At 49.0% G+C, this 20,593-nt stretch overlaps 1 long non-coding RNA gene across 1 annotated transcript in view, besides 2 other annotated features; it reads right to left on the bottom strand.

The window, feature by feature from the left end:
- The window catches only part of LOC105373611 (uncharacterized), a 241,632-nt gene that overhangs the window by 199,459 nt on the left and 21,580 nt on the right, over positions 1-20,593 (bottom strand). The window lies entirely within an intron of this gene.
- Positions 5,499-5,999: an enhancer, noted in NCBI's record as "H3K4me1 hESC enhancer chr2:129196351-129196851 (GRCh37/hg19 assembly coordinates)". NCBI's record gives its function as "activates a minimal SCP1, AML or CMV promoter by ChIP-STARR-seq in primed H9 embryonic stem cells {active_cell/tissue: H9 hESC(primed)}" and the evidence as "EXISTENCE:reporter gene assay evidence [ECO:0000049][PMID:30033119]".
- Positions 6,000-6,500: an enhancer, noted in NCBI's record as "H3K4me1 hESC enhancer chr2:129195850-129196350 (GRCh37/hg19 assembly coordinates)". NCBI's record gives its function as "activates a minimal SCP1, AML or CMV promoter by ChIP-STARR-seq in naive H9 embryonic stem cells {active_cell/tissue: H9 hESC(naive)}" and the evidence as "EXISTENCE:reporter gene assay evidence [ECO:0000049][PMID:30033119]".

The raw sequence follows: 20,593 nt of genomic DNA, 5'->3' as shown, positions 1-20,593 counted from the left end.
AAAAGTGGAGACCTGGGAATATCATCAGCAAACAGCCCAGTGACCACCACCCACGCCTGGCCATATCAGCCACCCTCAAACTTCCCACAGCGGGGGCTTGGTGGGGGGCTGCCTGGTGGTGAGAGAGGAGGGGAGCAGGTGGGTGCCACCTGGCCCTTGCACCACCTCCCTCTGAGCCCTGGCAGAGAAGAGGGGGAGGCCCAGGCCAGATGGGCTCTCTTTGAGAGCTCTGCAGGCCTGAGGGACTGGGAGCAGATGGTGCCACTGCCAGGCAGAGGGGCCAGACTGCTGCACAAACCCAGCGCTCATCTGAGGACACAGAGTGATTCCTGCATCCGAGTGTCCTCACGAGAGCACCATGCACAGGGCAGCTTCTTGGGAAGACAGAGCAGGAAAGGGATTGTGCTAGGGAGCTTTGGGCCTCCTGGAAATGCAGTCATGTGGTGAGGGAAGGGCCAGAGGAGGGGAGGCAAGGAAGAGAATTGGGGAGTCACTGACGGTCATGCAGCTTCATGCTCACACCAGGGCCTGCCTGCCAGGAAAACTCCCCAGTGCCCCAGGAACAGCCCAGCGAGGTCCTAACTGCAGAAGCAGGGGGCTGCACAGACACAGGAGGGTAGACTCTGGGGAGTTAGGCTGGTCACCCTAGGGCCACACTGACTGCATCATTCAGCAATGCCAGCCTCAGCCAAAAGCAAATGTCTGCCCAAGGCTCCCAGACAGTGTTCAGTTATTCCTCACTCATCTCATGAACTAGGGTCAGGCACCAGCAGCATCGAAACCTGCCCCAAGATGGCCACTGGATGAGGCGTTGGAAGCCCACCCTGCACCCGCTACTTTCTGCCATCCTGTGTTCCCCTGAACTCTCCAGCACCAGACCTCAGATGAAGCCCCATGCAGAGCTGCTGCACGCCAGGCCGGCGGGACCTCACGCCCCCCCCGGCAGCATCCGCAGGAGCGTCAGAGGCATGTGAACCAGAGCAACTCCATCTTGAATAGGGGCTGGGTAAAATAAGGCTGAGATCTACTGGGCTGCATTCCCAGATGGTTAGGCATTCTAAGTCACAGGATGAGATAGGAGGTCAGCACAAAATACAGGTCATAAAGACCTTGCTGATAAAACAGGCTGCAGTACAGAAGCCGGCCAAAACCCTCCAAAAGCAAGATGGTGAAGAGAGTGACCTCTGGTCATCCTCACTGCCACACTCCCATCAGCGCAATGACAGTTTACAAATGCCATGGCAACGCCAGGAAGTTACCCTGAATGGTTTCAAAAGGGGAGGCATGAATAATCCACCCCGTGTTTAGCATATCATCAAGAAATATCCACAAAAATGGGCAACCAGCAGCCCTCAGGGCTGCCCTGCCTATGAAGTAGCCATTCTTTATTCCTTTACTTACTTAATAAACTTGCTTTCACTTCACCCCAAATTCCTTCTTGTGCAAGATTCAAGAACCCTCTCTTGGGGTCTGGATCGGGACCCCTTTCCGGTAACAGGAGGGTGCCAGCTAAGTCAGCAGGTTACTACTCCGACTACACATGAGAGGCCGCAGGGGCCACAAGAATCTTGACTTGCTCTTGCTGGCAAATCACCCAGTAGGCACTAGACCCAGCCAGGCCACCTCAGCAGAGAAGGGAAGGCCCCGGGCCGGCAGCTACTGCACTTTTTCCTGCACTGCTTCTATCAGGGAACCAGAGCAGGGGTGTGGGGAGCGCCGGCCCGACTCCACTCCGGAAATGGAGAAAGTCCTCTGAAAAAAGATCCTCCTCCTGACTTGGGTTTGCCCCCAAGGAGGCTCTAACTCCTGAGCCTCTTCCTCTGCACCCCCAGGGCCCACCTACTCCACTAAGATAACTTCTGCTTTTTACAAAGCAAAATTCCAAGAATAGGGCATGCTTTTGTAGCCTGCTTTTTTGTGTTAATTCATAGGTTTAGTAAACCTTTCCCTGGCTGCCTCACCTTCATTCTAATCAGCTGCCCACATTACACAGTGATTCCCAAGGGCAAAAAGAAAAGAAAAAAGTAAATAATGCAAAAACTCACTGTAAGGAAAGGAAAAATGTAAATAACTCATAAACTCACTGTTCCCACATTGGTCTAGTACTTCCTCCAGCCTTTTTTCTCTGCCTAACTTCTATTTGTTTACAAAGCAAAATTTGCAAGAAGTGGGGGGCGGGGCACGGGCCATTTTGTAGCCTGCTCTTTGTACTTAAGCTTCTAGGACGAGCATTTTATCACGTGGATTCATATGTTTAGTAAACCTTTGAATGGCTGAGGGGCATTCATTCCAATCACTCCATAATTTAGACAGCCACTCCCCTAAAGAGGACCTTAAGTAGTTGCCAATTTGGGGCCACATAACTAAAGCCTCAGGGCCTCTCTGGGAAGGAACCATGGTTTGCAGATTCAAGGGCACCCCAGGGCAGATTCTCACCCGGGGCCTTCCCCTCAAAGCCCCTGCTCACCTTGGCCTGCGCCTTTTCTGGAGGAGACCCAGGAATCCCCCCTCCAGTTCCTTCTTGCTCCCTGGAGCAAACTGCCCTCAGGAGGTGCTTTCCCCCACCCCCAGCCTCAGCCTCAGCTCCCACTCTGCGCCCCTGGGCAGTTGGGGGGCTCTTGCTCTCTGTGTGAGAAGGTCACCTTGTCCATGAAATGGACTGCTAATGAGTTGGTTACTGGGTAGGGGAGAACCGAGATAAGGACTGGGGAGCAGGAAGGGGAACGCCCAAGAGAGGGCTCAAGGCAAAATCTAGCAGCTCCCTGCCCAGGCCTCAGCCAGGCTGCGTTCACACACCCCTCGTCAGTGCCCACCAGCAGCACCCAGCTACAGAAGGCCCCTCCAGACTGTGAACCCCAAGCACAGAGGAGCAGGGAATGTCAGGGAAATTCAAGAGACAGAAAAACAGCAAAGACCACAGACAGCAGGAAGAGCACTAGGAAGATAATGAGAGGGGCTGAGGGCCTGGCTGGAGGGGCCCCCGGTGCCACCCTGTGATGGCTGAACTGACCAAGGGGTCAGTGGCGTCCCCTGGACGGCTCCCTGGGACTCACCAGGCTTCCGACTGGGATGGAGTTGCCACCACTGCAGGCCTGGGTGGCCCTGCCTATGGGGAGAGGCGCAGGTGGCCTTTCCTGAACCACACCCCAGGGCTCAGGGCAGCGAGACAGGAGCTGCTTGGAGAGAGGTCAACGCGTGGCCCAGCACGTGGTCCAGCCCTGGGAGGTGGTGCTCCTCGGTGGCCTCTGCCCGTCTCCGCACCTCTGAAGGCTGCTCCCACTCCTGCCGCCTCTGCCTTTGGCACCACAGCCTCTGTTCCCAGCTCTCCAGGCTCCACTTCCTGGAACCTGCCTGGCCCAGCCAGGGGCAGCCCCAACAGCAGCAGCCTAGGCAGTGGACACACTCAGAAGGGGACAGATGAGCGACGCAGTCATGACGGGTGTACCAGGCTGAGGCCATGGGCCCCGAGGACCAGCACCAAGGGCTGGGAACTCGCACAGCTGCCCGCCAAGGGGCTGCCCAGCCGGACGGGCTGTGCTCAAGGGTAGGCAGGCAGGGCAGGGACAGGCAGGACACAGGGCCCAGCAGGCCCCATGACCGTGCACTAGCTCCACACAGCTGAACAAGCTCCTGAGGCTGTGGCCATGTGGGCATCTCTGGAGCTGGCCAGAGCCCAAGGGGAGGGGAAAGGCAAAGGAAGCAGGTGCCGGATGAGAACTGGTGGGACCCACGTGCCAGCATCTGATGGGCTCCCCTGGGGCCCATGAGTACCGGGCAAGGAAGGCTGGGGTGGAGGGGGGGGCACATCCAAGGGATCCTGAGGAGCAGTAAAGTCCCAGTGGTCACCAGGCTGCTGGGAGGGCTGCCGGCCACTGTGGGGTCTGCTTCAGCTGCAGAGCTGCCAGCCAAGGCCGCCTCCCCAGGCAGCCCACACCCAAGGGCCTTCTTCACCCACCAGGGGAAGCCTCTGTGGGCCACTTTGCCCACTGCTCCCTGGCCATCAGCCAAGGCTAAAATAGTTCTGCTTGGCATCCCAACTTACCCCTCCCCGCCCCTGCTCAATGCCAAGATAATTCCCTAAAGTCGTCCTGCCCAGTACACCCTCTCAGAATCTGCTTCCTGGAGCCGCTGTGTGACCATCACCATCAAGTCCCAGGAATGCAGCAGGGCTGCTGCCCAGCCTCCCCTCTCCCCTTCTGACCTCAGCTGCCCTCTTCCTCCACCAGGACTTCCGCAGCTCCCCAAGGATTCTGTGCCCATGGCCATCTGGGTGGGGCCCGCTCCTTGCTCACTGGGGCCGTCCTCCTATGCCCTGCCTCCCTGAAGCCTCTGCTTGCTGCGCTGCACTGTCTTGAGGCCGACCAGGAGTCTCCTCTGCACAGTGCCTCTGAGTTTGCTCCCTTGATCCAGGGCAGGACCACTGTGGCTTGGAACAAGGCTTGCAGGGAGCCACTGACAGTTGCTAGGGGCTTCGATTTTGAATTCATGGGGCTACTCCAGCTTGGGGATTTCTCACTGGTGAGACTCAGAAGTGGGGCAACCAAGGACCCAGCTGGAGTGTCATTCCTGGTTGTCCCCATGGTGGGACCCCCACCTCATAGGAATGAAGCCACAAAGCACAAAAATGCCACAAAAGAAGGGAAGGGTCACTGGACAGAGTGGAGGTGGCCCCAAACCACCTTCCTGGGGGAGGTGCAGGGTCCAGCCTGGGACAAGCGTGCACAGCCTACCTTGCTGTGACATGGGGAAAGCCGTGGTGGGGGGCAGCAGGTGACCACGCAGGAGCACCCAGGCATTCGGCCAGGCAAGCTCATGGCTGCCCCCACACATGCAGCTGTGATCAGCATGAACGTGCCAAGTGTCCTGGTCACCTCGGGCTGCCAGAACAAAGTGCCACACACCAGGTGGCTTCAACACCCCAGCTTTGCTGTCTCACAGCTGTAGAGGCCAGGAGTCCAAAATCAAGGTGCCCTCTGAGGGCTGTGAGGGAAGGCTCTGTCCCCGGCCTCTCCCTGTGTCTTGCAGATGTCCTGTGTCTTCGCGTCACCTCCCTGTGTGTGTCCTCATCTCCTCTTGTAAAGACTCCAGTGGTTGGATTAGGCCTCATTTTACCTTGACCACCTGTGTAAGGACCCTAGGTCCAAATAAGGTCACTTTCTGAGTTCCTGGGGTGAGGACTTTAGTAAAGGAGTTTCGGGGGACAAGCACAAGTCAGCCCACACCACCAAGTGCTGGCTGACACGTGTGCCTCACCACATCAAGGAAGGCGTGGCCGAGAAGCTGGAAAGCCTGCTGGGGGCTCCTGCTCAACCTCAGGGTTACTGGCCGCCAGCTCCACACAGCTACCCGGGAGGCAGCAGCGGAGGAGAGAGAGGCCTGGAACCCACAGGCCCTGCAGCCCTCCTGTCAGTCATCAGCTCACTCCCTGCCTGCTTTAGGCTCTAAAATAATACATTGATTTTTGAGCCAAGGCTAACTTTAGTTACCAGTGATGCTGCTAACAGGGGAAAAATAAGTCATCGTCATTAGAATTGAATCTGAATGAATGAGCTAGCCTGTGTCTCACTGGGATTCGGGCTGCTGCTTTTTTTTTATTGTCACAGTTTGCTGACATGGTTCTTTCTAATTTGAAGCAGCCTGAAAGAAACCCTTTACCAAACATGACACATTACCATTTGGGAAATATTAAAGGAATTGATCATTCTGCTTATCTGCTGCTATTTTACAAACCATCCCAAGATGTAGTGGCTTAAAACACACCATACGATCAGATCTCACTGTCCAGGGGCTCAGAGTTGGAGCAGGACTCATCTGGGCGATTCTTCTGCTTGGTGTGACGTGACGTTGGGCGATGGAGGTCGTTCTGTGGCGCTCAGCCTGCAGCACAGCTGGCCTGGAGGTCCAGAACGTGCCTACTCTCATACCCGGCACATGGGTGGGGATGGCGGGCCCCCATCCCTCTTCTGTTGATCTTGGGCCTCTCCACAGGGCAGTCGAGCTTCTGACACAGTGGCTCAGGGCCCCAGGAACCAGTGGTCCAGACAGAAGTGCTGGGAGCCCAGGCCCGAGCCTGACCCCAGAGACGGGGAAGGGCTCAGGCCCCTTCGTTGTGGGCAGAGCGTTTTGGAGAGGAACAGAGGGAATCACAGTGGACAGGCAGCTGTCCTGCCCCCTGAGGTTTGGAGCCAAGGTGCTCAGCTTGCAAAGCACCCCAGACTCTGAGGAGATTTGGCACAATGCTCACTCACACACACAGGCACACATGCATGCACTCCATCATACATACACCCACTCATGCTCACACCTCACACTCCAACTTGCCCCGTGCACGGGCTCTCTCTCATATGCAGGTGTCCACACTCACACCTACACCTCATGTCCACATTCACACCTACACCTCATGCCCACACTCATACACACACGATCACATTCACACACTCACACACCCACTTGTGCAACACGAAGTGGCAGACCCCTGTAGGACAGTCACGGAACCGTGTGGAGAGCAGCCGTGTCCTCGGGAGTGGTTAGCGGACGGCCTCTGCGGACCAGGCTGCGCTCCACACTGGGGGGTGGCACGGGGTGGCGGGGGACGGAGATGGGCACCAGGAGGTGGGTGCCAGGAGATGGGTACCAGGAGACGAGCACCAGGAGGCAGTGCCAGTCCAGGTGCCCACAGCCCCTGCTCTTCAGGATTTTGCTTCACAATGTACGGACATGAAGCCACCAGCACCAGATGCACACACTGACACCCGCAGGACATCCATCCAGCAAAGGGTCTTGTTTAACCCTATAGTGGGTTTTTTGTTTGTTAATTACTTATCAACATTTGAAACTCAGTAAATACCATATAAAATGAGGGGGGTTTCTGACTTCTCTTGAAAAACTTGAAGACCAGAAGGCCGGGCGCAGTGGCTCACACCTGTAATCCTAGCACTTTAGGAGGCCAAGGCGGGCAGATCACCTGAGGTCAGGAGTTTGAGACCAGCCTGACCAACATGGAGAAACCCCATCTCTACTAAAAAAAAATTAGCCAGGTATGGTGGCACCTGCCTGTAATCCCAGCTCCTCGGGAGGTTCAGGCTGAGAATCACTTGAACCCGGGAGGCAGAGGTTGCGGTGAGCCAAGATCGCGCCATTGCACTCCAGCCTGGGCAACAAAGCGAAACTCTATCTCAGAAAAAAAAAGAAAAAAGAAAGAAAAACTAAAAGACCTAGGAACTCATGTGATGCCGGCCTGCCCAGCCACCCACAGCAGCCAGCCCCAGCCCCTGGCTGCCTTTCCAGCCCACCAGTGCCTGCAGCAGATGACCTCCATGTCATACAACATCAGCTCTTGGAAGTCATCTGCCTCAACCCTCATTTCCTGCCACACGGACCACTGAGCTCAGAGCTCCTCAGGCGGGGCCGGGGACGCCTGCCCAGCACCACTCCCGTCCTCCACTCTCCCCTCCTCCAGGCCTCGCCTGGCTTCAGGCCCCTGGTAGATGCCCTATAAAGCCCCAGGGACTTGACCGAGGGGACAAAAACCCAGGTTCTCCAGACTCCAAGAACTGGCTCAGCTGGTGGACGCAGGTCTGCCTGGGGCCAGGCTGATGCCAGGCTCTCCATTTCCTATGGGTCCTGGGGGGCTGCGTCTTGCTCTGCCGATAGGGCCCCAACTCCTGGCGCTCTTGCCTCCCACCCTCACCCCTCCACACCCCTCCCTGGTGCAACACACCACTCACACAGCTCTCACCTATGGCCAGTGTTCAGTTCAACCAGGAGGACCCAGGCCCCACCTTCCACATGAATAAAGGAACTTCCAGACTCCTGGTCAGAGCCAACGGGATGGAGCGATGATGCCTACCCTCGGCGTTGTAGTGAGGACAAAAGGCAACAACATGCCACGATCTGACACCTGGTAGGTGCTTAGGAGATGAGAGCTACTGGTATCACCATCATCAAAGAAAACCTCACATCCTCTCCTCACTAAATCTGGCCGACAATGTACGGTGGAAGATATTCGTTAGTTCCACCATATGTCCTAATTGGAACCATAGCCTGAACCAGCACCACTTGCCAGAAGCCAAAAAAAAAATTGTTTTTCCTTGACTCGCTGCAGACTGGCACAGTTACCAGGCACATGTCTTCCCTGTGACTCCAGGATTTCTCCCCAGTTGCTCACACTGGTCTTCATCTCAGCAATCAGCCCACATCCCAGGACTCATGGGGATGCCCTTGAAACCCAGCAGCAATGAGGCACTAGCAGTGATACTGCAGATGCTGCACCCCCAATACTTCACTGAACAAGTATTTGGGGTGCAGCTGCCATGTATGTGAGTGCTGGGCAGGTGAGGAGCCAGCCCCGGGCAGCTCCGTGCAAAGGGGAGGGCCGGCGCCCAAGTGCATGCAGACAGCTCCACCTCAGAGGACCAGCGTGACAGACCGCAGGGGCTCCTGCAGTGGGGAGCTGCCAGGATGGCCCAGAAATGGCACCATCTGCCAGTCATGCGTGAAGGACGCCATGCTGGGGGCAGTGCCCTGCCTCCACCACCTCGGAACTGGGAGCCAGTTGCTCCATATGTCAGTAAAAAGAGGGCCATGTATGCCTGAATGCTGAAGAAGCAGACCAGCAATAATCGAGTCATTTATATACAGCACAATGCTTTGCATGAGTGCCGCTGACACTGAGCAGAGTGCCCAGGACATTGCTTCAGACCTTCCCTGCCTTGCTCGCCTCTTGCTCCACTCTGTGTGTGGTCTCTAACCAACTTCACACAGATGAGAATGAAGTGCCTGGCCCCTGCCCTCACCCCCGCCTCTCCCTGCCACTGAGCCTCTCTGTTAACATCCCTGGGGACCCCCAGGCATCTGCACACGTGTGCAGCCCAGAGAAGCAGTGGGTTAACACCCTACAGGACAGACCTTTACCTAGGGGCACACGGGACCAGTGGGCAAATGCCTCCTCTCTTCTCTCCTTCTCCCTGCCCCGAGGCCTGGATGGAGTTTCTCAGGGGCTGCAGCTTAGTGGGTCACCCTCCTGTGGGCTCTTGCTCCAACCTGGCTCACTCCCTGCCCCGCACTCCTGCTCCCTGGACTTGCACCCACTGAGGACACCATCCTTGGCACAGAGACACCACGCAGCATCACCCATCCAGGACATCCTCACTGGGAAGGTCTTCAAGGTCACCTTGCTCAACCCCAGACCTCTCTTTTCATTTTATGGATGAAGAAATATGGCTGTAGGGGTGAAAAAATATATTTTCTTCACCCACTGATAGGTTCGTGGCTAAGGCCCCTGCAATAAAAGACACATCAGCAAGAGAAAAGCACACATGTGTTTTTAATGTAAGTTTTACCTGACACAGGAGCCTTCATAAGGAAAGGCAGACTCAAGCAGGGAAGCCTGTGTACTTTTTGCTAGGTCTGATGAAGTGGGTGGTCATGGAGAAGTGTAATCTATGGCAATAACCTCAGGGAGGTCAGCAAGGCCGGTCTGTTTAGTTTCTTCTCTGTCAACCTGTGTCTTCAGAGATAGGGACGTTCCTTTCCTCTAGGTATAAAGAGGATACGTCTCCAGTGAGGGGCTTGTGACCTACCTCAGGGGAAGGTCAGAACATCCTAGATTTTATGACCTGCTTTAGGGGAGAAAGGTGTCGAGGGGGTCAGAGAGACCTTCCTGCTTCTGCTGCTTCCTCAAATGCCAAGATTTCACACTTCAGGGTAGCATATCCTGAACCCCATCAAGACCCAGAGTTGAAAAGGGAATTCGTTGTCCTAGCAGAGCTAGGAGCAAAGTCACACCTGGGTCTCCTAAGTCAACTCTCCTTGCCTTTCACCCCACTGTCTCATTTCCTGCCACCTCATACGTTTATCTGTGGCAGGGCCAAGGAAGAGAGTACTGGAACAAAGGCGATGGTGTTCAATGGAGATAGTTCAGGACCCACTTCCCCTGATCCTCTCACCAAGTTCACTTGGGGCCTGGGAAATTGTGCAAGAGACAAGCTACCAAAGGAGGTCACTGAAAAAGGTACAAGAAATTAAACTGGTCTGGGACTCCGGGACTGAAGAACGGCACTGTGGCAGGGGGTCTTGCATCCGCCACCCAACAAGAGACAGCCACCTAGGCTCAGCGTTTCCCAATCCCAACGAGCAACAGAAGGCAGCCCAGGTGGACTATACCTCCCCCAGACTCAGTGGGAGTCCCCCATACACACACACCCGCACGTGTGTGCATCTCTGGCAAGCCCAACACCAACAGCAAGAGTGATGGATTAGAAGACGCATCAGAATAAGTGGCAAAGGAGATGCTCTGCTTCCTCATGAGCCTGAGACTTCCCTTTTTCCCTGAGAGATGCCAGGGCAGGTGACAGGCAGAGCCAGCATGAGAGGCTACCATAGGCAACTTAGTCCACAGAGGCTCTTCCTCCTTCCCTAACCAGCAACAACTGGGCAGGCCTGTGAGGGGCCCAGCTGCAGCAGGTGGCCCAGTCTAGGGGCCTTTTTGTCCAAGACTCTCCACCCCAACCCAGAGACACCTGGACATCCAGAGGGCACCAGTAGAGTGGTGGTGTCACTCCTCCCTCCCCAAAGAAACACTGGGTAACCCAACCTAGAGAAACTTCTTCTACCCCACAGGCAGCATCAGCAGAGACCAGTGGGAGCCTCAGCAGTGCCAGATAAACCAGGCAGACCAAAGTCACAGCACAAAGGCTTTGAAGTGACATTCGAACCACAACTGATAGAAGTAGACTGCATGCCAAACCTAAACAGCGTGACTGAATGCTAAAATAAAAGATTTATATAAGACCCAGAGTCTCCTAATGTGTCACAGAAAAAATGTCCAAGATACAATAAAAAATCATCTATCATACCAAGAAGCAAAAAAAAAAAAAAAAATCACAACTTGAGTGAGAAGAGACAATTAACACCAACACTAAGATGAATCAGATGTTGGAATTATCTGACAAGGATTTTAAAACAGAGATTATAAAATTGCTTCAGGCCAGGCTGCTGTGGCTCACGCCTGTATTTCCCGCACTTTGGGAGGCTGAGGCAGGTGGATCACTTGAGGTCCAGAGTTCAAGACCAGCCTGGGCAACCTGACAATACCCCACGTCTACAAAAAATACAAAAATTAGCTGGGTGTGGTGGCATGCACCTTGGAGGCCCAGCTACTCGGGAGGCTGAAGTGGAAGGATCACTTGGGCCCAGGAGGCAGAGGTTGCAGTGAGCCAGGATCACACCACTGCACTCCAGCCTGGACTACAGAGTAAGCCTGTCTCAAAATAAAAATAAAAATGCTTCTGTCTGCTGGGCGCGGGGGCTCACGCCTGTAATCCCAGGACTTTGGGAGGCCAAGACGGGCAGATCATGAGGTCAGGAGTTCAAGACCAGCCTGGCCAACACAGTGAAGCCCCATCTCTACTAAAAATACAAAAAATAGCCAGGCATGGTGGCACGCACCTATAGTCCCAGCTACTCAGGAGGCTGAGGCAGGAGAATTGCTTGAACCTGGGAGGCAGAGGTTGCAGTGAGCCAAGATCACGCCACTGCACTCCAGCTTGGGGAACAAAGCAAGACTCCGTATCAAAAAAATAAAATGCTTCTGCCTATAATCCCAGCACTTTGGGAGGCTGAGGCTTGCAGATCACCTGAGTCAGGAGTTCAACACCAGCCTGGCCAACATGGTGAAACCCCATCTCTACTAAAAATACAAAAATTAGGCGGGCGCGGTGGTGCATGCCTGTAGTCCCAGCTATTTGGGAAGCTGAGGCAGGAGAATCGCTTGAACCCAGGAGGCAGAGGTTGCAGTGAGCTGAGATTGTGCCACCATACTCCAGCTTGGGGGACAGAGCGAGACTCCATCTCAAAAAAAAAAAAAAAGAACCAAATGGAAATTAGAAATATGTAATAAGAAATACATGTAATAATGTTTAATGTAATAACAAATACAAATCTTGCTGGATAGGTTCAATAGTAGTATGGAGATTATAGAAGATGGAATCAGATAAATGAAACAAAAAAATAGAATTTGCTCAATCTAAACATCAGAGAGAAAAGATAAACAGAATTTCAGAAACCTGTAGGACTATAATGAAAGATTCAACATTTATATCGGTGAAGTACCAGAGGGAGAGGAGAAAGAGTGAGGCTACAAATTACGCAATGGAGACAAATCTCCAGAGCCAAGAAGCTGAACAAAAACCAAACGGGATAAACCCAAAGAATTTCACACCAAGACACACCTTAATCTTTTGAAAACTAAAAACAACTAAAAATTTTGAAAGCAGTGAGGGAAGATACCTATAAGGGAATACCAACTCAAACGACAATAGATTTTTTTATCTGAAATAAGGGAGAGTACAAAGAAGTAGCACAATGTTGTTTCAAGTGTTGAAAGAAAATAAATGTCAACCATGAATTCTATGTTCAATTAAACTATACTTCAGGAATGAAGGAGAAATTAAAACATTCTTAGCAGAAGGATAACCAAAAGAACTTATTGTAATAGACCTATCATTACAGATTGGGTAAAGGAAGTTCTTCAAACAGATAAGTGATAAAAGAAGGAATTTTGGAGCACAAGGAATAAAGAAGGAAACATAGAAAGGGCAAAAATATGGATAGTTATAAAAGACTGTCCTTTTTCTCATGGATTGTATAAATCATATTTAATGATTGAAACAAAAATTATAACACCATTTTACACCCAAGACAATTCTATTTAGTGTGGGGAAGATAAAAGGACCTAAATGTAAGTGAGGTTTCTACACTTGATTCAAAGTGGTAAGATGTTGACACCGATAGACTATTGTTATAAGTCACACATGTATATTATAATATCAAAGCAAGCACTAAAAAACTATACAGATATAGTCCCAAAAAAGCACTATATGTAAGTCAAATTGAATCCTAAAATGTGCTCAAATAACCTGTCCAAAGGCAAGACAAGGGAAAAAGAGGAGCTAAAACTGGAGAATACAAATAGAAAACAGTGCATTAAATGTTAAACTTAAGTATTAATATCACAATATTACCTTAAATGTAAATGGTCTAAATACTCCAACCAAAAGATAGAGATTGAGGCAGTAGTTTTTACGAAAAATAACCAATTATATGCTGCTTATGAAAAACTCTCCTCAAATTCAATGACGTACACAGGTTGAGAGTAAAAGCTTGGAAAAAGACATACCATGCAAACATTAATTTTTTAAAGGGAGTGGCTGTAATAATAACAGACAAAGTATACCTCAGAGAAAAGGAATTTCTAGAGGCAAAAAAAAAAAAAGATATTGCATAATGAGAAAAGGATCAAACCATCAGGAAGATACAATGATCCTAAACAAATATATACGACACAACAGAGCCTTAAAATACATAAAGCAAAAACTGATAGAGCTAAAAGATAAAATAGATAAAGCCACAATTATAGCTGGAGACATAACATCCCCCTTTCAGCAACTGATAGAACTACTAGACAGAAAATCAGCAAAGATATAGTATTGTGAACAATGTAATCAACTAACAAGATCTAATTGACATGTGTAGAATACTGCATCCAAATGTAGCAGAATACACATTTTCTAAGCAGCCAAATGAAACATTCACCAAGTTAGGCCATATCCTGATCCATAAAACAAATCTTAACAAGTTTAAGAGAATTAAAATAATACAGAGTGTGCTCTTTGACCATAATGAAATCAATAACAAAAACATAAGAAAATCTTTGTACACATGGAAATTAAACGACACACTTCTAAACAATATGAGTCAAAGAGGAAGTCTCAAAGGCAATTTTTAAAATGTATTTGTGTGACGTGGCTAAAGCAATGCTGAGAGGAAATTTTATAGCACAATTTGTATTTGTATTTATTCTTTATAACATTAGCACAATTTGTATTTGTATTTATTATTTATAACATGTTAGAAATAACCTAATCGATAAACTCAAATTAATAACCTAAGTTTCTTCCCTCAAGAAACTAGCAAAATAAGAGCAAAATAAACTCAAAGTGAGCACAAGGAAGGAAATAAAGAATAGAAGTCAATGAAATGAAACATAGAAAAACACTAGAAAAATGAATGAAACAAAAAATCAATTCTTAAAAAAATGAAATTAATAAACCTCTAGCAAGACCAACAAAAAGGAGTGAAGACACAAATCATCAATATCACCACAGATCCTACAGTCATGAAAAAGATAATAACGGAGTACTATGAACAACTTGACACTCAGAGATCTGACAACGTAGAAGAAATGGACCAATCGAAAACAATAAAGTACCAAAACTCACTCAGACAAAATAGACAATCTCAATAGCTCTATAATCATCAAAGAAATTGAATTCATCTTTTAAAGTGTCTCAAAAAAGAAATATCCAGAACCAGATTATTTCACTAGGGAATGTGGTCAAACATTTAAAGAATTAACATCAATTGTACGAATCTCTTCCAGAAAACAGAAAAGGAGGGAATACTTCCCAACTCATTTCATGAGACCAGAATTATCCTGATACCAAAATCAAACAGAAAACTGTAATTCAATATCTCTCATGGATGTAGATGCAAAATTTCTCAACAAAACTAAAAACAAATCCAACAATGTATAAAAAGAATTGTACACCATGACCAAATGGAATTTACTTCATGGATGCAAAACTGATTCAACATTTGAAATTTCATCTATGTAACTTACCATATCAACAAACTAAAGAAGAACAATTACATAATAATATCAATAGGTGCAGAAAAAGCATTTGACAAAATCCTAATACCCATTCATAATTTTTTATAATCTCTTAGAAAATTAGGAATTGAGGGGAATTACCTCAACTTGTTAAAGAATATCTACCCCAAAAACTATAGCTAACATTATACTTAACGGTGAAAACCCAGATGTTTTCTCCCTAAAATCAGGAGTAAAGCAAAGATATTCATTCTCACCACTGTTATTCAATATGGTACTAACTAGAAGTTCTAGCCACTACAATAAGGCAAGAAAAAGAAATAAAAAGCAAAAAGTTCAGAAAGAAAGAAATAAAACCACCTATATTTGAAGATGACATAATTGTCTACTTGGAAAATCTCATGGAATCTACACCACACACAGAACCTCCTAGAATTAACAAGTGAGTTCAGCAAAATCACAGGATACAAGATGAACACACAAAAATCAATCACATTTCTATACGCTAACAGTGAAGTCCAGAAAGCAAAATTTAAAACAATACCATTTACAGTTACTCCAAAGAAAATGGAATACTTAGACATGCAATTAATGAAACATTTACAGAATCTACAGGATGAAATACTGATGAAAGGAATCAAAGAAGACTTAAATGAAGAGACATTCCATGTTCATGGATTGGAAGACTTAAAATAGTAAAGATGCCAATTATTTCTCAAATTGTTTGATAGATTTAATGTAATTGATATCAAAATCCCAGCAAGGTTTAATGCAGACAAATTTATTCTAAAATGTATGTGGAAAGACACAGGAACTAGAATAGTAAACAATCTTGAAATAAGAAAAACTAAAGTGAGAGTAACTTGATATTAAAGCTACGGTAAACAAGACACTGTGGCATTGTGCAGGGATAGACGCATAGATCAACAGAACAGAATAGAGAACCCAGAAATAGACCCACACAAATATGCACAAGTGATGTTTGACAAAAGTGTGAAATCTATTCAATGGAAGGATAGTCTTTTCCAAAAGCAAAAACCAACAAACAAACAAAACAACAACAAATGGATCATGGACTTAAACGTAAAACAACTCAATAAAACTTTCAGGAGAAACATGATAGAAAATCTTCAGAATCTAGGGCTAGGCAATGAATTCTTAGACTTGACACCCAAAGCATCATCCATAAAAGAAAAACTGATAAATTAGACCTCACCACAATTTAAAACTTTGTTCTGTGAAAGCACACATAAAGAAGATGAAAAGACAGGCTGCAGACGGCAAGAAAATATCCGCAAACCACATATCTGAGAAAGGGCAAGTATCTAGAACATAGAGAGACTATCAAAACTCAATACTTAAAAAAAAATTCAGTCAGAGAATGAGCAAATAACATAAGACATTTCATTAAACAGAGTATACAAATGACTGATAAGTACATGAAAAGACAGCTGATGTCATTAGCCACTAAGGAAATGCAAATTAAAACCACAAGATTATCACTATATACCTATCAGAGTGGCTAAAGTAAAAAATAGCGACAATAGCAAAAGCTTGGGAGGATGTGGAGAACCGGGTCACTCATGCTCTTGGGAATGTCAAATGGTAAATAAAGCCACTCCAGAAAACAATTAGGCAGTTTCTTTAAAAAGTTAAACATGTAACTACTGTATGACCCTGGGCACTATCCTAGAGAAATGAAAACTTCCATTCACACAAAAACATATACGCAATGTTCATAGCAGCTTTATTTGTAAGACCCAAAATCTGGATTCAGCCCAGATGTCCTTCAACAGGTGAGTGTTAACCAAATGACCATGCATGCATGCTATGGAACACTTCTCAAACAAACTCCATGCACACAGCATGGTTGAATCTCCTAGGGGATCCTACTGAACAAGAAAAGCCAATCCCAGATGGTTGCATAGTTCCATTTACACAACAGTTTTGAAACAGCAGTACTTTAGAAATGGAGAACAGATTCGTGGCTGCTAGGGATTAGGTCCAGGGGTAAAAGGAGCTAGTGATGAGTTATAAAATACCAACAAGTGGGAGCTTGGCGGTGTTGAAACTGTCCAGCAACCTGATTGTGGTGGAAGATCCATGAACCTATACAAAAAAACTCATGGGAAGGAATGGGAATATATTTTAATTTTTTAGCATTAAAAGTTGCTGTTTTACTTTCTGGAAGTTTCTTAGCTTGAAAGCCATGACAGACAAGTGTGCATGCGTGCAGACACACACACACACGAACATGCACACACATGCACACAGAGTTATATAGATGAGCCAAAGACTACCACTGGGTGTTGAACCCTACATTATTTAGTTTCTGCAGGCTGAGACCTGGTAGCTCTAAAGCTCACTGGTGCCAAACTCAAATTTTACACATGCTTTTATTTCAAAAATAGGCCCTACAAATGGCAAATGTTTAGCCATTTAGACATTGCCTGTTTTGCATCTCCCGCAAAACCTCACCCCCGCTGTTCCCTATTGATAAGGTCCCAGCTGCTGCTGCCCCCCAGAGACTCTGCAGGACGTCACTTAAACACAGACAGCCTCTCCGACCCCTCTCTCTTAGGAGGTCCCTTACCCTCCTTCCCTTCTGGGTAGGGATTTCTCCTATTGCCTCTGGACAGACATCTGTCAGGAAGGACTTCCCCTACCTGCAATCCTGTCCCAGCGCTGCCCAATAAAGCTTGATGTGTGTTACCACCTCTTACAGTCATATATTTCCCTTCAGCTGGCCAGAATCCCTCCTACCCTTCACACACACACACACACACACACACACACAAGTAAAACTGGGAGATTGGAATTAACATCAGTGGATTGTAGCAATGTCCAGATGCAGTTTGTGATATCATACTAGAGCTTTGCAAAATGTTACCCCTGGAGGAAACCAGGTAAAGGCCACAAGGGGTCATTATTATTTCTTAAAACTTCATATGGTTTTACAGTTATCTCAAAAAAAATCAATTTAAAAAATGTCTGGCTACTTGTAAGCTCTACACACCCCACTCCCACCATGACAAGTGAAAGCATGAGCGGGCCCTTCCTTAGCTGGTGAGACTGTCACATCCTGCACAGAACATCCCTGCCAGACTGCTGGCGATGGACCACGTGCACACACATGCATGAGCACACACACACGCATGTGCACACACATGTGCACACAGCTGCACACACACACACACACACACACACACACACACACACACACACCCCTTGCCAGGCCCTGCATGGAAGCCCCCCATCCTCTCCTCCTGCTGGGGGCACAGGAAGCTCAGCGCCCCATAGATCTGTATTTGACTTCAGACCCTGTTCCCAGCTCTGGCTTCTCAAGCAAGCGGTGGCCACTCAGCCCGACAGCCTTATCTGTAAAATGGGGAAACAGTCCCCCGCTGTGAGGTTCTTCTTGTCAGGATGAGAGGTAGCATCTATAAAGTGGGTATCCTCATCCCCATTGCACAAATGAGAAACTTGGGGCCAATAAATATTATTGTTGTTACCAATAAAACGCCATGCCACATTCATGTAAGCGATAACCCCAAAAGGAGAGTGGTCAGGGGATGGAGTGTGGGGAGGATGGGAGGAGGGTGTCAGCGTCCCTGGGCTGGCAGTTCTGTTCCCTGGGGAGTGCTCCTTCTGCTCCAGTGGGTCTAGGAGAAGCCAAGTGGGTGCCAGGCGGGATCATCGCCTCCTTTGTGGATGCTTGTGTGCATCAGGGCACACTTACACCCATACACATGCACACCCTCAGCCCAGACTGAGCTCAAATCCAGAATCTGTTAAACAAATACTGCTCTCATCAGTCAAAGGTCCACATCCTGCAGTGGGCAGAACTCCCAGAGCTGTCAGGAAAAGCAGGGTGAGAACTGGACAGGGTGCGGGTGGACCTCCCAGGGAGGCTGGGAAGGGCTGAGGGCTGGGTGGGATGAGTGAGGCTCACAGTGCTCCTGCCTCTGCCAGGCCTGGGGCTCCAACTGTCACCCCACCCCATGCTGTGCCATGCTGAAGTGCCTCTGCCAGGCCCTCAGGGGGAGACCTCCAACCCACCAAAACAAATAGCTAGGCTTTGTATTCCGAGAGCCTGGTCACCAGATGGGAATGCGGACGGGTGATGCCACAAACAAGCTCCAGGAGGGAAGCTTCCGAGATTCCCCAAGCTTTGAACACAGCAACCTGAACAAGGGAGCTGGAGAGGTAACGGAGGCGTCTCCAGAAAAGCCAAAGCAGAGAAAACCACCTTTCTATGCATAGCTGAGTCGGTTCATGTCCGAGGACCCCTCCTCCTGAGCACTCTTGACAGCCAGCTCGGAGCATGGCCCAGGAGGACTGGCTGGTGGAGACCCCAAGGTAGGAGAATCCACCCTGGAGGAACCTGAATGCCAGAACCAGAAAACCAAGTAGCCCCTGGCAATCTTATCCTAAAGCCCTGGTCTAGGGTTTGTGTCAAAATTCACAGACCCTCTTTCTTGGGTCAGCAAGATCCACTCCCGCCCCCATTCCCCTCCTGTTGCCCCCATCTCGGGGAGCTGGCCAGCACTCTGACCTTTAGAGCAAATTCTGTCAGGACTGGTATAAGACTAGAACACGGCTCAGAAGAAACAAATCCTGCATGATTCCACCTCAATGAGGGGCCTACCAGGGTCAAATTCATAGAATCACAGAGTGGCAGCCAGGGGCTGTGGGAGGGGCGTAGGGAGGAACTAATCCTGCTCCAGGCCAGCAAGAGGAGTGCGTTCTGGAGACCTCAGAGCACGGTTGCACCCAAAATCCTGTTAAGAGGAGAAGTCTCATGATACATGCTCTTACCTCAAAAAAATTAAAAATAAATAAGTAAATAAAAAGAAAACAGAAGTGTTGGGCCTGTGCCGCCGCCCAGGGAGCAGCCCGCACCCCTCACAAAGACAGGAGGCCTGCCAGAAACAGGCTGGAGAGGCACCCTCATCTATATGCTAATTAGCCCGTGCAAGAATTACAGGGTTAATTAAGCAGCGCCGCCCTCCCTTCATTTTATCTGCCCTGGACACTGAGGCAAGAGGAGGAAATCACAACCTCTGATCAAATTAGCTGTCCCCCGGTGCTCTGGGCCACTCCTCTCTGCCAGGCTTGGCGAGCCAGCTCCTGGAGTTAATCATGTTTATTTCACAAGGCACCAGGGATTTAAAACGTGATTAGGAATCAAACCCAGAAGCAACCAGCCTGACCCTTCCACTATCAACTTCCTCTGTACAAAGGGGGTGTTTTATCGCTGATAGGTGGCAAATACACACCAGGCCCCATCCTCTCTGCCTCAAGGGGGATTATCGGTCAGTGGGTAAATGACTGTCAAGTCAGGAGGGGGATGGAGGAAGGAGGCAGGGCTCTCTCTTGCTCTCCCTGCCCTTCACCCGGCATCCCAATGCTTAATACTGTTAAAGGGCCAAAGGCTTTTTTTATGGTTCTGCCCACTGTGTGGTCTCAGGTAAGCAACTTACATTCAGTGAGCCTCAGGTTTCTTACTCATTAGGTAGGAATATGCCATCCATCCAGCAGGGTAAGATGGATGTGAGCTACGGGTAGCATGGATGCCCTGGGCATCAGCATCAGGAATGTTCATTTTCTGCCTTCCTTTCCTTTCACCCCAGCATCCCGGTCTTGAGCCCCTGTTGCTCCACCCCCCATAGTCCAGTCAAAGCTCTATCCCACCCCACCCCCAAAAGCCTCCCTGATAACTCAGCACAGACATGGTGGCCCCCTGAAACTCCATGGAGAACATGCATCTGAGCACTGGGTCACATACCCTTGCTCCTCTAAAGAATTCTCCCGGCACAGAGGAGGCATCAGTGATTCTGTGCTGAATACATGAACTGAAAAGGCTGAAAAGTCACTGATTCCAGGCTCAGTAAATAGATGACAAGAGAACGATTGGCCTCC

The sequence above is a fragment of the Homo sapiens genome, chromosome 2 (genome assembly GCF_000001405.40).
Source record: "Homo sapiens chromosome 2, GRCh38.p14 Primary Assembly".
In the NCBI taxonomy this organism is placed as follows: Eukaryota; Metazoa; Chordata; class Mammalia; order Primates; family Hominidae; genus Homo; species Homo sapiens.
The sequence above is the reverse complement of the archived record's forward strand: the minus strand, read 5'-3'. Positions and strand labels throughout refer to the sequence as shown.